We start from the raw sequence: 14,240 nt of genomic DNA, 5'->3' as shown, positions 1-14,240 counted from the left end.
ACACAGGCTCCCTGAGAGAAGTGAAATTTAAAAAAAAAAAAAAAAAGGCATTTCTGTACAGAAATTTGGATTGAATAATTTATTCCCTGTATTATTATAGTAACAGGAGCAAATACATAAATTTTTATTAATAAAACAAAAAAGATGAAAAACAGAAGCAACAAATGAAGACATCCATACTGCCCATAACACATCAGCCATATGATCAGAAAACCCATTTCTAAAGAGCAATGGTTGCTGGTGTCACAGAGTTTTATTGCATTCATCGGGGGAAAGGGAGATGGTTGGAATGAAAAAGATCCATCAGTCTTCTGACAGGAAGATGTTATATGGGGGCTCCAACCCCTAACTGGGTACTCCTCTTGCTACCACCTTTGGAGCAGAAGATGAAGGGGAGAGGGAGCTTCTCCCTATGGCCTCATGGCTTCTTGTGAGACAGATCAGTCCAGCCAGATACAGAGCAAAGCAGCTTTGCATCACCACAGGCCAGTTGCTGATGCCCAGCTTTATGTCTAAAAAAAAAAAAAGTGGAAGCCTCAAGGGGGATGGAGGATAGCAAGAAGAATGGGTGCCTTGGCCCCAGAGGCATTGTAGGGAGAGGAAGACAATGTATCTCATCAGGGTTCTCAACATTATGAGATTATCACACATCAACTATCTTTGGAGGGGCTGAGTGATTGAGTTATGGCTCTGACTCCTCTCTGGGGGTGGAGAGTGAAGATGACAAAGAAGGCCATCTGTCCCCTAGGAGACACAGTTGCAGTATAAGACAGGACAGAAGAGAACAGAAAAACAAATCCAACTGGAAAAAGGGGTGGGAGAAGGAAGTGTGCTAGGTACACACATCCAGGGAGTAGGGGAAGTTCCCACACTTGAGGCCTCCATCCTCTTGAAATGACCAGAATTGATCCAAGTAGAGATATTCCTTTCTTCTGGAAATAAACCTTGGGGATGGCTAGGCAGGATGAAAGGAAACTTTACATGGAGAATGAATCCTACACCCTGGCCCATCATTCCAGCCTCCAAAACTGGCCACACACCCACTGAAGGGTTCCAGTCCCAGGAGAGGTGTGAGGTTCTGGTGAAGAGCAGCAATAGTCAAACATCTTCCCCCAGGCTTGAATGCTTTTGGCCATCTCTGGGTTGCTGTGCCCAGATGTAGAGATGGGTGGAGATGGAATTGAGGTAAGGGAAGAGATTACTCAATCTATGACAGAGACCCAATCCAATTCTCTGCATAATCATGAGTCCTCTTAGGTCCCACCTCTGTGAGGTGCCAGGCTGCTGACCCACTCTCTACCCCACCTGTGTAGGAATGGCCATATTCCATCGTGTGTGTGCATGCCTGCACCCACATCTGTAGTATCTTGAGTGTCATCCATCCTAGGGCCCACCAGGAGGGAAGCATGCCATAGTGAGTTTTATAAAGTTATCAGCAAAATTCAGACACTTTTAGTTCATCCCACACAGCAAAGTGCATCCAGAGTAGTTGCTTGAGCCAGGTCCATCTGTCCAGTCAGGTCCTGAAGAAGGCAAACAACCCCCTTCCCCTAGCTCCTATATCATAGAAACAACAGGAGATATTACAAAGATCAAGGCACTTGGGAGAGAGTCAACAATAACATTCTAATACTACAAGCAGACTTCTCATGGGGAGGAAGAGAGGGAAGAAAAATGGGCAAAGAGGAAAAAGGACAATGTATTTCTGAGGGTCAGAAAGAGCCTACTCGACAGGATGGAGTTATCTGGATGGAAGGAGCCTGCAGCCTGAATTTAGCAAAGGAAGAAGAGAACTGGTGGCTAGAATATCCCCACAATTCCCCCAAGTGTCTCAGAACCCCACCACCTTGAACATCAGAGAGAACCAGGCAGTCTCTTAGGCAAAGATGTTGGTAATAAAATCCAGGAATCGCTTAGCATACTGCTCCGGATGGACAGTAGAGATCTCTGCCCCAGCCTGTGAGAGGAGATACGGAACAATATGTCAGGCCACCCTAGCACCCGTCCCCATCACCCCCACCCAATCTACCCCAGACCACCTCCATTCTTTTGCCACCCCATTGCTCTGGCACAAGAGACTCTATTCCCAAAGAATAGTCAAGACAGGAAAGGAAAGGCTTTTGCGAACTCTCACCCCATGCTTGACAGTTTTGGCTGCATGAGCTGCTTTCTTCTTAGCATCATACTGTGTAAGGATATCAATGAGGCCCATGAAGTAGACCTCCTTCTGGGGGGCTCCTGGGAGAGAGACCAACAATTCAGAGTAGGTTTAGTTCCAATTCCCTTTCTCCAGGAAGCAGTCAGTTTTGTTCTGAAAAGCTAATCAGGCTCTCCCCCAGCACTCTGGTCTCTGTCCTCCAGGAAAAATCCCCTCTCCACCCTTAAATTGTCCCGGTTCTCTCACCTTCAGCACTCCGGATGGCATAGACATCAATGAAGGACTCAAACTCTCCTGGGCCCAGGGGCCGATGGGAATGGATGTAGCCTCCGATACCCTCTGGGGAGGTGCCATAGGAGCCCACCAGAGCAGGAGGTCCAGTCAGGCTGCAGTCCCCATCCACCTCTGACTCATCCTCCCGCACGGGCGCTTCCTCCTCTGGTTCAGAGCCCCGAATGATGTCGTGGATGCCTAGCAGAAGGCTGTAGTCCATGATCTTCAGCTGCACTAGAAACTGAGACCCACTGACAAATCAGACACCTCTCTCTCACTCTTCACTGCTAGGTATCACCCCTGTACCTGTACCTTTGAATTTCTGGGGCCCTTCTGGGGAAAGGAAGTATAAAAATTGAGGTTGCAGGGCATACCACTGCCTTTAGTGCCTATATGTCCTAGTATCTAAGATCATCCTTTTAGCTTATTCCAGCCACCCCTTCCACGGGTCAGCTCCAGGGGTTTTTCATGTCTCATACTAAACCCCCATATAGGCAGAGGACCTGAAGAATAAAGGGAAGGGGAGGAGCTCCCTCATACCGTGAATGAAAGAGACAACTACCCTCTAGGGAGCAAAAAAAGGAAAGCCATTTCCCAGAGCACCCAATCATCACCTCCACATCTCTCTTCAGCTTCTCCAGAAATATTTTCTTCTCCTCTTCACCAATATATACTTTCTGGTTCTTGTTGAGAAAGTCCATATCCTTAAGGGTGGGCAATTCTTTAACCTAAGAATATGTAAAGGGACATCTTGGGAACATATCCCTTCCCCAAGGTCTCAGAACCCCACCTTCTGTCTAGGGCTCTATGCTAGCTCAGTTAGATCTCATCTAACTCCACACTGTGATGCTTCCCTGGTCTGTTCTCACCTCCAGTGACTTCCACAGACTCAGTCACTACAGCTGTATCCCAAATCACATCCCACTACTCTCTGCTTATGGTTTTTAGCCAAGACCCTCCAGGCTGACTTTTCTTTCTCCTCTTTTTTTTTTTTTTTTTTTTTGAGATAGGATCTCGATCACTCTGTTGCCCAGGCTGGAATGTAAGTGGTGTGATCTCAGCTCACTGTAGCCGCGACCTCCTGGACTCAAGTGATTCTCCCACCTCAGCCTCCCAAGTAGCTGGGACTACAGGCGCGTGCCACCACGCCCGGCTAATTTTTGTGTTTTTGGTAGAGATTACGTTGCTCAGGCTGGTCTGGAACTCCTGGGCTCAAGCAGTCCTGCCTTGGCCTTCTAAAGTGCTGGGATTACATGCATAAGCCACCATGCCCGGCCTGTGTCTTCTTAAGCAAAAGTAGCTGCTTGAATAAAATAACCCAGAATGGGAAGTGGAAGTTAAACACTTTGCTCTTCAAGTCTGGCAACCTCACCCATCCCCAAGCCTTCCATATGGAATAACCCATGCCAGTGTTAAAGCAGCTGCTCCCACTGCCCCTTCCAAACAATCCCCGGATCAACAGAAGTTTACCCCCTTCTTTTAAGTGGTTTAAGATAATAAATAGCTAGTAATCCCTATTCCTATATAGAGTGGCCTCTCCATCCTAAGAAGTTCCCCTCATCTGCCCTCCCTCATCCCTCATCCCTCACCCTAGCACATAAAATTACTATCACCTTTTCCTTATCGCTGGCTTCCCGGGACACTAGGGAACCCTGCAGAAAGACCCAAACACCAAGTCAGTAGAAGTGGCTAAAAGAACAGTCAGAACCCAGCCCCTAAGATGAGTACTCAAACCCAGCCTTCTTTCCCTTAAAAGGAATCATCCAAAGACCTCCCAGGGTCTTCCCCATTCTCAGGCTATCAGGAGCCTCCCTCTAAGTCCGAGCTACCCTCTTCTTACCTTGAGGTCATACTTCCTGTGCACAGGAAGACGGTGGCTAAACATATTGCGCATCACAAGCATGTAGCTGTCTTCGTTGTCCACACTGACTCGGTACATCCCCAGGAACTGGGGCAGAAGCGTGTTGCCATGGCACTTCACAATGTACTACAGTGAAAGAGGGGGAAGGAATGGGGAGAGGCTGAGTAGCAGATACACAAACAGCCCAGGGAAGTTCAAACACTGCCATTCCAGGGTAGAGCAGAGGACTTCAAGTAGAGAGATTACAAAGTCAAAAGTGGTGGAAGCTTCCCCAAAACACTCCAGGTTATCCATGCCGTTTCTGAATCCCCCTTTCCTCTGATTCCTTCCATTTGTACATCTCTTAATTTTTAAGTGTCATCTCTCAATTCACCTTTATCATTCTTTGAGATGAGGAAGGTTAAGTGTTATTATCCTTATTTTAGACCCTTTCTATATGCAAGTGGCACAGAACCAGGATTACAACTTATATCTTATCAATGAAATCATTTTATCTAGAGCAGTGTTTCTTCATAGGCTAGATTCCCATAATTTAAAATGTCTGCATTGGGTTGGGCTGTGCTGTGTCATTCTGTCACTGTAATATAAATACAGATTTTTATACCTAAAAAAAAAAAAAAGTCTGCATGATGGCCTACAATTTGGATTTTTTTTTTTTTTTTTTTTGGAGATGGAGTCTCACTCTGTTGCCCAGGCTGAAGTGCAGTGGCACAATCTAGGCTCACTGTAACCCCCGCCTCCTCCCAGGTTCAAGCAATTCTCCTGCCTCAGCCTCCCGAGTAGCTGGGAGTACAGGCGCACACCACCACGCTCAGCTAATTTTTTGTATTTTAGTAGAAGCGGGGTTTCACTGTGTTACCCAGGCTGGTCTCGAACTCCTGAACTCAGGCAATCTGCCCACCTCGGCCTCCCAAAGTGCTAGGATTACAAGCGTGAGCCACTGCACCCGGCCTACAATTTGGATTCTTTTTTAAAAATTCTCCTGTTAAGCCAGGCTCACACCTGTAATCCCAGCTACTTGGGAGGTTGAGGCAGGAGGATCGCTTGAGCCCAGGAGTTTGAGACCAGCCCGGGGAACACAGTGAGATCCTGTCTCTAAAAAACAAAAATTACTCCTTCAGTGCTTACCATCTCTCTTTCTGTGTTGCTGCCTCTTTCTCTTCACAGCCAACCTTCTCAGGAAAGTAATCAGCAAGAAATCCATTTCCTGTCTCTCATTCACACGTTGAATCACTGAAATCAGGTTTATACCTCATTTCTCCTCTGAAATCTCCCCCATATCCCTCAGTTGTCAAATCTAGTAAGTATTCTAGTCATTGTCATATTTCAGCTTTGTGGCACTTGATCCTATTGACCAGTCTCTCCTTAAAAGTCTCCTCATCCTCAGCTCTTATTATACCACCCTCCTGATTCCCCTCCTCTCTGTCGTCGAATCCCGTATGGAATGTAGCATGGCATAAATAATTAAAAGTGTCCATCTACTCTTAGTTTCCTTTATGGGCTCATTTCTTCACTTGTTCCTTTAGGTTCTGTCCTCAACCTTCTTTTCATTTCACTGCACACAACCTCCCTACAATAATCGTATCTATAGCCATGGTTTTAATGATCACTTACTCACATATAATTCTCAAACCTATACTCCCAGTCTAATCCTCTTTCCTGAATTCTGTACACATACCCCAACCACTTACTGGACATCCTCATCTGGATGAATTGCAGAAACCTCAAATTCAGTATGTCCAAATCAGAACTTTCTTCCTCCAAAAACCTGTTCCTCTGTTTCTAATTTCTGGTGAATAGGCACCCAGTTATCCCTAACCAGGAACTTGGAGGCCCCTGTGTCTTAACTCTCAGTTCTCCCATAGGTCTTCCTTTCTATCCCCACCACCATCGCTCCCCCAGGCCTTCATTGTTTCTACCCTGGACTATTAAAATTACCTCCTAACTGGTATCCACCCTTCCAGTGTTCCCTCCCACCAATCCATTCTCTAAAACGCTGTCACATTTTCTAAATATTTCTAAATAACAAATATATCACGCCCCTTGCAAAACCACCTTCAGGATAAAGTCCAAACTTCTTTGTGGGGCTTATAAGCCTCTTTACAATCTGGCTCCTGCCTATTTCCACAGTACTACATCCCATCCAAATGGAATTTCTTGCTGTTTTCTAACACCAAGTTCTCTCATGGCTCTGTGCCTTACAAGTGCTGTTTTCCTTTGCCTAGAATGCTCTTCCACCCTGTCCAATGGTTAACCTCTACTAGTCCTTCAAGGATCAACTCTTACAGTATCTCCTCTAAAAAACTCTCTTTAGCCTCCCAGGTGCATTTCCTTCCCCAGGTGAGTTCGGATGCTCTTCACTAGCTTCAGAATATTCTGTACAGACTTCTACTATTGTATATATCTTGCGGTGTGCTAATACTGGGTCACTGGTCACTGCCATCAGACCAAGGGATCTGTAAGGGCCACAGATGTTTCATTTACCTCCTACTCTACTGCCTAACATAGGGCCTAATAAGAGGTATTCAATATTTGTTGCATAAACCAAAGACTCCTTTTGGACTCTGATGTATTCCTTGCTCACTGATTTTGGTGAAATTTTTCTTCAGTAGAGATGTTCAAGAAGAGTGTTTTTACTGCCAAAACATTCCATAAACTCCACATTCCAAGTAAATCTTTTTTTTTTTAATCTTTTTTTTTTTTTTTAGGCGGAGTTTTGCTCTTGTTGCCCAGGCTGAAGTGCAAATGCACGATCTCGGCTCACTACAACCTCCGCTTCCCGGGTTCAAGTGATTCTCCTGCGTTAGCCTCCTGAGCAGCTGGGATTACAGGCATGAGCCATCATGCCCAGCTAATTTTGTACTTTTAGTAGAGACGGGGTTTCTCCATGTTGGTCAGACTGGTCTCGAACTCCCGACCTCAGGTGATCCTCCCGCCTCAGCCTCCCAAAGTGCTGGGACTACAGGTGTGAGCCACTGCCCCCAGCCTGTAAATCTTATCAGACAGAATAGCTTCCCTCATCCCATTTAGGGCTGGATATGATTATGGATTCTCTCTTCCAATGAGTTTTCTCCCCAGTTGGCATCTATTACTGACAATAGCTGAGCTATATGTGAGTAGGGAGGAGAGGGAAAGAATGGGGCTAGAGAGAGGCCTGACCTGGTGATAGTTGGAGAGGTTGCTATGCATGTCAGCAATGTCCTCACTGGATACTTCTTTGATGACCAGAGTCCGATCGTAGGAGATAAGGAAGCGACCATCACTGCCTTCACTTTCGCTGGGGGGGTTTCGGGTAAGGGACACCTGGGGACACAGAATAGGCCAGAGCTCTTTTCCTCCCTCTTTATATGCAGAAACAAGTCATAGGAAAATGGTCAGCTGAAAGTGGATGAATCCCTGGGGTAGGAGATTCAGCACAGTTCCTCATCAGGTGTCCATATGTGGACTGAAGGAAACTGAATGCAAAATTCTTTTTTTTTTTTTTTTTTGACAAGGAGTCTCGCTCTGTCACCCAGGCTGGAGTGTAGTGGTACGATCTCAGCTCATTGCAACCTTCGCCTCCCAAGTTCAGGTGATTCTCCTGCCTCAGCCTCCCAAGTAGCGGGGACTAGACGTGCGCCACCACACCTGGCTAATTTTCATATCTTTAGTAGAGACAGGGTTTTGCCATGTTGGCCAGGATGGTCTCGAACTCCTGACCTCAGGTGATCTGCCCGCCTCGGCCTCCCAAAGTGTTGGGATTACAGGCGTGAGCCACAGCGCCTGGCCAAAATTCTTAATGTATCTACATCTTTTCCCCCAAGGACAAGGTTTATAATTTTCATTAAATTTTTGAAAATGCTGCAATCACAAAAAGGTAAAGAATTATATTTGCCAAGACTCTCATTTCTCCAAATATGGCTGTCCCAAATAGTACTCCTCAGTTGCTGGGGAGAAAGGGCTACCCTCACCCCTTAATGGACTCTCACCAAGTAATCTTGGTCATCAATGCCAAATCGATCACGGAGGTTCCTGAAGACCTGGGGACAATACTCCTTGAACTTGAAATGACTGGGCAGATTTTCCCTGAAATTCAGGTTTTCAAAGTAAGAAAACAAACAATATTACATTTACATACACTTGGTAGTTTATAAAGTACCTTCAGACATATTACCTCATTTGATTCTCATAAAACCCTGTGAGGTCCTTTTTTTTTAATTTTTATTTGTTATTATTATTTTTTGAGACAGAGTCTCACTCTGTTGCCAGGTTGGACTGCAGTGGTGCAATCTCGGCTCACCACAACCTCCATCCCCCGGGTTCAAGCAATTCTCCTGCCTCAGCCTCCCAAGTAGCTGGGACTACAGGCATGCGCCACCATGCCTGGCTAATTTTTTGTATTTTTAGTAGAGATAGGGTTTTGCCATGTTTGCAGGCTGGTCTCGAACTCCTGACCTCAAGTGATCCACCCGCCTTGGCCTCCCAAACTGCTGGGATTACAGGCATGAGCCACCACGCCTGGCCCTTGTGAGGTCCTATAAAAACATATTATTTCCATTTTATAGAAGAGGAGACTGTCTCAGAGTGATTCAGTGACCTGCCTAAGTAACATGGTTGGTAAGTGGTATAGTAGAGCCAGGATCTACTACCCATCCAAACAGCAGCATTTCCCAAATCTCAAGCAAGTCAGAAGCATTCTAAAGTCAGCAACAGACACCACTGTTTTGAATGGCATCTTCTTTTCCTAGGAGGGCTTAGTAGAGAATTCAAGTTTTTCTTTCAAGGAGTCCCTGTCAGAAGCTAATGGTTCTCATGGCATCTCCAAGGTCACAAGCAGAAAAAGAGAGAAAGAGCAGGTAATGGTATCTGTACATATTTACTCTATGGAATTGCCAGGCTAGAGGAGAGATAACACTGATTCATATAAGGATATAGGGAACACCAGAAATTATTCTCATGGTTTCCTTGCACAAAACTAATTTCTGCATTTGGGAAGGATGTTAAATTTTCAACTCACTGAAACTTTTAAAATTATTTATTACTCCTTTCTGGGAAGGTTGACATGAGAATGGCAAGGATCATCACTTACCTGTGGAAAAGGTGATTGTTGACCTTGATCTTGGAGCTGGCCTTAAAGTCATCTGGCAGCAGCATCACCGGGGGAGGCACCTGGCTGAGCTCATTGATCTGATAAGCCAAACCATGAATAGGGAAGCCATGAAGAAGGGTGTGGAGAGCTACCCATACACTGTGTCTGGGCAGCAGTCATGCAAGGGCCACTCAGACCTCATTCCTTTAAAAACACTGGCTATGCATATGCTTGACAGAAGTGAGAGAATGTGTCTAACCCTTCTGCTGCCCAAGAAGGACTACAGTAAGCAACCCTCACACACAGCCCCCAACACGCCCACCCCCATGGAACTTCATGCTCACAACAGTCATTTTATATTAGGCTAACCCTGTAAGCAACTCAGGACTATTTTTAAAGCTGTGAGAAATTCTAGAAAAAAAAAAAAAAAAAAAAAAAAAAAAAAAACTCTGCAAGCTCAAGGCAGCTACATGTTCCATTAGAAAAAGAAAAAAAAAGGCATTTTAAAAATGCACAAGAGTGTTAATGGGATTCTGTGGGGCCAACCACAGCAAAAAGGATAAATGTCCATATCCTGCAAAAGGCATCTCTTTGCAAACAGGACCAGTCTTCCTAGACCACTCTGACCCAGTTGTTTGCAGTAGGCCCCCACCTGTCTAAGGTGTAAGGTAAAGGAAGAGCAGCTGATTTCAGAGCGAATGCAGGCAATCAGAGGATATGAGCTCATTAGGCGTCTGTTCCCTAAAGCCAAACTAATCCACAGCCCAAAGGACACAAGCATCACATGCTCTCCTCGGCCCCCAGGATCTGCAGTCTGCTAATTCAGGGTAGAAAGGGAGCTCTAGTACTTAAAAATCCTGAGCCGTGCTTTCTCCTTGGTGTTGCTACAGTACCTTTCACCTGCCTTTGTTACTGCATGACTCTAATCACTAGTTTATGTAAGTTCTCCCATCTAGATTGTGAGCTCTTCAAGAACAAGGGCTCATTCTAGTCGTCTGCATCTTTCAGGTGTCTAACTAGCACAATGTTTGGCACACAGTGATCCTGACATGTCTATTAATTGAATAAATGAATGCCTTGCCTATCCTTACTAGATCATTCCACAGAGGCTATGAACTGCAGTCTAACCTAAATCACACACACTGCAGTGCAACCAACTCCTCCCGTTCTCAGTAGAAAAGGAGGACAGAACATATCCCTCCAGATTAAAAAAAAAAAAAAAGCCACTTGAGACTCCCAGCCTAAAATTCAGCTATAGCTCCTCCTGCCCCCTCCTCCCCACCTGCTAAGCAAGCTGAATCATCACTAAGACATATGTTCAAGGAATTTCTCCATTCCAAACACTTGAAGTAGATGTGTGTTGGCAGAGGGTGGGGTGCTGGGGCTAAAGTATATATACCTAGTGAAGCTGAGGTAGGTCTTACATGTAACTCCCCCAATCCTTAACAAGGGAAAACCCTCCCTGTTAAGCATCCCACAGGGAATGGATGAATCACCTGGAAGGTACATATGAGAGGCAGCCCTACCTCCATCAGCCTTCCCCATACCAAGTGCCTTCCACTGAATACTCACTAAGAGCTTACCACCCAGAGAGCCACAAATCCAAAAGAGATCCGACTGGCCACAAACAACATTCTTAATTTTTGGTTAAGAAATTCTTTACCACAAATTAAAAATGTGACAAAACGCGTATTCTTCCTCACAACTTCCATCTCCACAGCCTAGCCATGACTATATTCAAGAACGCTGATTTCGAAAATATTCCGTGTCACATTCAAGATAACTGCATTTCTCCCACTCCAGACCTGACGGAAGATGGGCAATGGCTGTGCTTCTTTCAGCTGAGGTATCCTCAGGAAAGGGGATGGAGGTCTCCTTGGCCTCCTCCTGACTCCCAGAGCAGTTTCCTGCTTCAAAAGTTCACCACCATAGTGACCTCAGGAACAGAGCCCCTCAGCCTTCTCTTTGGTCAACAATCGCCACCACCTACACCAAACACGATCGCTCTAGCCAGCGATAAGGATGCAGTTAAGACCAAAGGCATATATACATAAGTCCTGAGAGTGTGCAACTTCTAGCTCAGGGTGGGGTAGCTTCTCTAAAATGCTGTACCTCTGGAAGGGAAAGGAAGGGACAAGCAGGATTAGAAAGCCCAGGAAACCTGGAGCTTCCCCGAGACAAAACCAAGATTCAAAAGCCAAGGACCGGGGCTGGGAAGCAAGGTGGAAAGCAAAGTGAAAGAACCTTTTCATCCATCTACTCCCCTCGGCCCCTCACCCTCCACCTACACTCTCACCAACAACCACCCGAGAAAAAGCCACTCCCCCTAATGTCCTCCCCGCTTGCGCCCGGTCCTGGCCAGTCCGCGTAGCCTGAGGCTGAAGCTAGACATGGCAGGAAGGAGTCAAAGCACAGGGAGCTGGATTTCACGGGGGGAAGGTGGAACTAGAGTGGAGCAGTAAAGAACTGTTGGGGAGAAAAAAGTCCACAGTCAGAAAACCTGCTGGGGGAACACCTGGGGTTGGTGGGCAGGGACCAAGACAACCCGGGGGAGGGGAGTGGCACTGCGTGGGGCTCCGGAGGCTGGAGCCTGGAAACAGGGACGCCTCGGAGCCGAGGGGTTTGGACAGGGCTGCGGGGGTCTAGGGCTGGTTCTCACCGAGTGGGCTACGCCCCACAGGAACACACCCACCAGCGGGTCGGCCGCCCGGAACACCTTCACCTTCTGCTGCACGAAATGCTTCTTCTTGGTCTTGGAGGCGAAGCCGAAACCTGGGCCGGGGCCTGCTGTCGCCGCCGATACCGTGGCTGGTGGGACCGAGGAGGACGCCATAGTCTCCCGCGCAACCGACCAAGTGGAAGCCGGAGCCGGCAGCTATCCAGGCGCCCGACCCCGGAAGCGGCGCTCACCTGCGCTGCTGTCACGTGACCGGAGGCCGGACAGCGGACGCGCGAACAGGGCGAGGCAGGACGGGGCGGGGCGACGCTGGCCCCGCCCCCCGGCGCCTGCCTGCCTGCCCCAATGTCCGCTCAGTGTGTGGGCTCACCTGGCGTGCGGGATCCCTGTAAGCTGACGAAGCAAGCGGCCCGCGAGGCCCCTCGAACTGTCAACTAGGAGACCGTGGTGCGGCCTGGGCTGGCCTGATTGACTCCCAAGGTCTAGGGCTTCTTTGCTGCAAAGTGGCCGCCTTCCGGCTTTGCCCAGTTTCTAATGAGTAACCTCGGACCTGATGCTAATGCGAAAGCATTCTTACCGAATGGGGGTTGGGAAGGGGAGGGTTTTGGAAACCCAAAATTCTTACCAGTGGTCTCAAGCGTCTTGAAATTCATTCATTCATTTAACAAGTATTTATTGTGCACTTAGTTGTACTAGGTCCTGTTCTAGGGGCTGATTTTCCTTTTATTGAAGCAGGGTATAGGACAGTGACTGCCCCGAAGTAGTTGGGAGTCTAATGGCACTGGCTGGCCAATGGAGATCAAGTTTGCAGTATGCAAAGTATGAGCTATCCTAGAACTGTGTATGAAGCAAAGACAATGATACAAAGAAAGGAAGTGTAGCTGGTCAGGGAAGGCTTCAAAGAGGATAGAGACTTTACTGAGTTTGGAAGGGTGGGTGGAGTTCAGGAATAGAGGTTAAAAGGCTGTCTAGACAAAGAGAACAGCATACAAAGACATGGAGACAAGAAAGAACGAAGCCGGGCGCGGTGACTCACGCCTGTAATCCCAGCACTTTGGGAGGCCGAGGCGGGAGGATCACCTGAGGTTGGGAGTTCAAGACCAGCCTGGCCAACATGGTGAAACCTCGTCTCTACAAAAATACAAAAATTAGCCGGGCATTAGCCGGGCGTGGTGGCGTGAGCCTGTAATCCCAGCTACTCAGGAGGCTGAGGCAGGAGAATCACTTGAACCCAGGAGGCGGAGGTAGCAGTGAGCCGAGATCACGCCAAGCAGAGATCACGCCAAGCAGAGATCACGCCACTGCACTCCAGCCTGGGTGACAGAGTGAGACTCCATCTCAAAAAAAAAAAAAAAAAAGCCGGGCATGTTGGCAGGTGCCTGTAGTCCCAGCTACTTGAGAGGCTGAGGCAGGAGAATCGCTTGAACCCAGGAGGCAGAGGTTGCAGTGAGCCCAGATCATGCCATTGCACTCCAGCCTGGGCGACAGAGCAAGACTCTGTCTCAAAAAAAAAAAAAAAAAAAAAAAGCCAGATGCGGTAGCTCACGCCTATAATCCCAGCACTTTGCGGGGCCGAGTCGGGAGGATCACCTGAGGTCAGGAGTTGTGGGCAAAGGATTACCCAGGTGCCAAGGCAAGAGACTGAAGGCACAAACTGTTGCAGTATAATAAAGAAAATAGTTAGAATAAAGAGTAGTTACAATACAAATTAGATATAGAGATGATCATGGACAATTATCAATCATCAGTATAAACATTATAAATCATTAGCTTTTAATATTACTCTTTGTGGCATTACTAATATAACCTAGGAATAACCGGCAGGTATAGGGTCAGGTGCTGAAGGGACATTGTGAGAAGTGACCTAGAAGGCAAGAAGTGAGCCCTCTGTCACGCCCGCATAAGGGCCATTTGAGGGCTCCCTGGTCAAGCGGTAACACCAGTGCCTGGGAAGGCACCTGTTGCTTAGCGGACCGCGAAAGGGAGTCTCCCTTTCCGTGGAGGAGTCAGGGAACACTCTGCTCCACCAGCTTCTTGTGGGAGGCTGGATATTATCTAGGCCTGCCTGCAGTCATCCAGAGGCCTAAACCCCTCCCTTTGGTGCTGTGCTTCAGTGGTCACGCTCCTTGTCCACTTTCATGTTCCTCCTGTACTCCTGGTTCCTCTTTGAAGTTCTTAGTAGATAGCGGTAGAAGAAATAGTG

The 14,240-nt window shown here is 47.3% G+C and overlaps 1 protein-coding gene across 8 annotated transcripts, besides 3 other annotated features; it reads right to left on the bottom strand.

The window, feature by feature from the left end:
* Positions 1 to 64: 64 nt before the first annotated feature.
* PIP4K2C (phosphatidylinositol-5-phosphate 4-kinase type 2 gamma) lies at positions 65 to 12,291 on the bottom strand. Of its 8 annotated transcripts, NM_001146258.2 has the most exons (11): positions 12,020 to 12,291; positions 9,361 to 9,458; positions 8,261 to 8,357; positions 7,452 to 7,595; positions 4,272 to 4,418; positions 4,045 to 4,083; positions 3,046 to 3,159; positions 2,405 to 2,672; positions 2,135 to 2,238; positions 1,847 to 1,957; positions 65 to 1,557 (listed from the first exon to the last, which is right to left on the bottom strand). In NM_001146258.2, the coding sequence occupies exons 1-10, from the start codon at positions 12,191 to 12,193 to the stop codon at positions 1,877 to 1,879; spliced, it is 1,266 nt and encodes a 421-aa protein (NP_001139730.1). In that variant the 5' UTR covers positions 12,194 to 12,291; the 3' UTR covers positions 65 to 1,557; positions 1,847 to 1,876. The 8 variants fall into 8 exon arrangements, with proteins under 8 accessions (NP_001139730.1, NP_079055.3, NP_001139731.1 ...); NM_024779.5 differs by having other exon boundaries at positions 65 to 1,957; NM_001146259.2 differs by having other exon boundaries at positions 65 to 1,957; positions 8,261 to 8,326; positions 9,384 to 9,458.
* Positions 12,052 to 12,553: an enhancer, noted in NCBI's record as "H3K27ac hESC enhancer chr12:57984713-57985214 (GRCh37/hg19 assembly coordinates)". NCBI's record gives its function as "activates a minimal SCP1, AML or CMV promoter by ChIP-STARR-seq in primed H9 embryonic stem cells {active_cell/tissue: H9 hESC(primed)}" and the evidence as "EXISTENCE:reporter gene assay evidence [ECO:0000049][PMID:30033119]".
* Positions 12,194 to 12,453: a silencer, noted in NCBI's record as "silent region_4585". NCBI's record gives its function as "represses an Ori minimal core promoter by ATAC-STARR-seq in GM12878 lymphoblastoid cells {active_cell/tissue: GM12878}" and the evidence as "EXISTENCE:reporter gene assay evidence [ECO:0000049][PMID:35858748]".
* Positions 12,634 to 12,683: an enhancer, noted in NCBI's record as "active region_6549". NCBI's record gives its function as "activates an Ori minimal core promoter by ATAC-STARR-seq in GM12878 lymphoblastoid cells {active_cell/tissue: GM12878}" and the evidence as "EXISTENCE:reporter gene assay evidence [ECO:0000049][PMID:35858748]".

Source organism: Homo sapiens, chromosome 12, assembly GCF_000001405.40.
Source record: "Homo sapiens chromosome 12, GRCh38.p14 Primary Assembly".
NCBI classification, from domain to species: Eukaryota; Metazoa; Chordata; class Mammalia; order Primates; family Hominidae; genus Homo; species Homo sapiens.
This window is presented reverse-complemented; position numbering and strand designations above follow the sequence as displayed.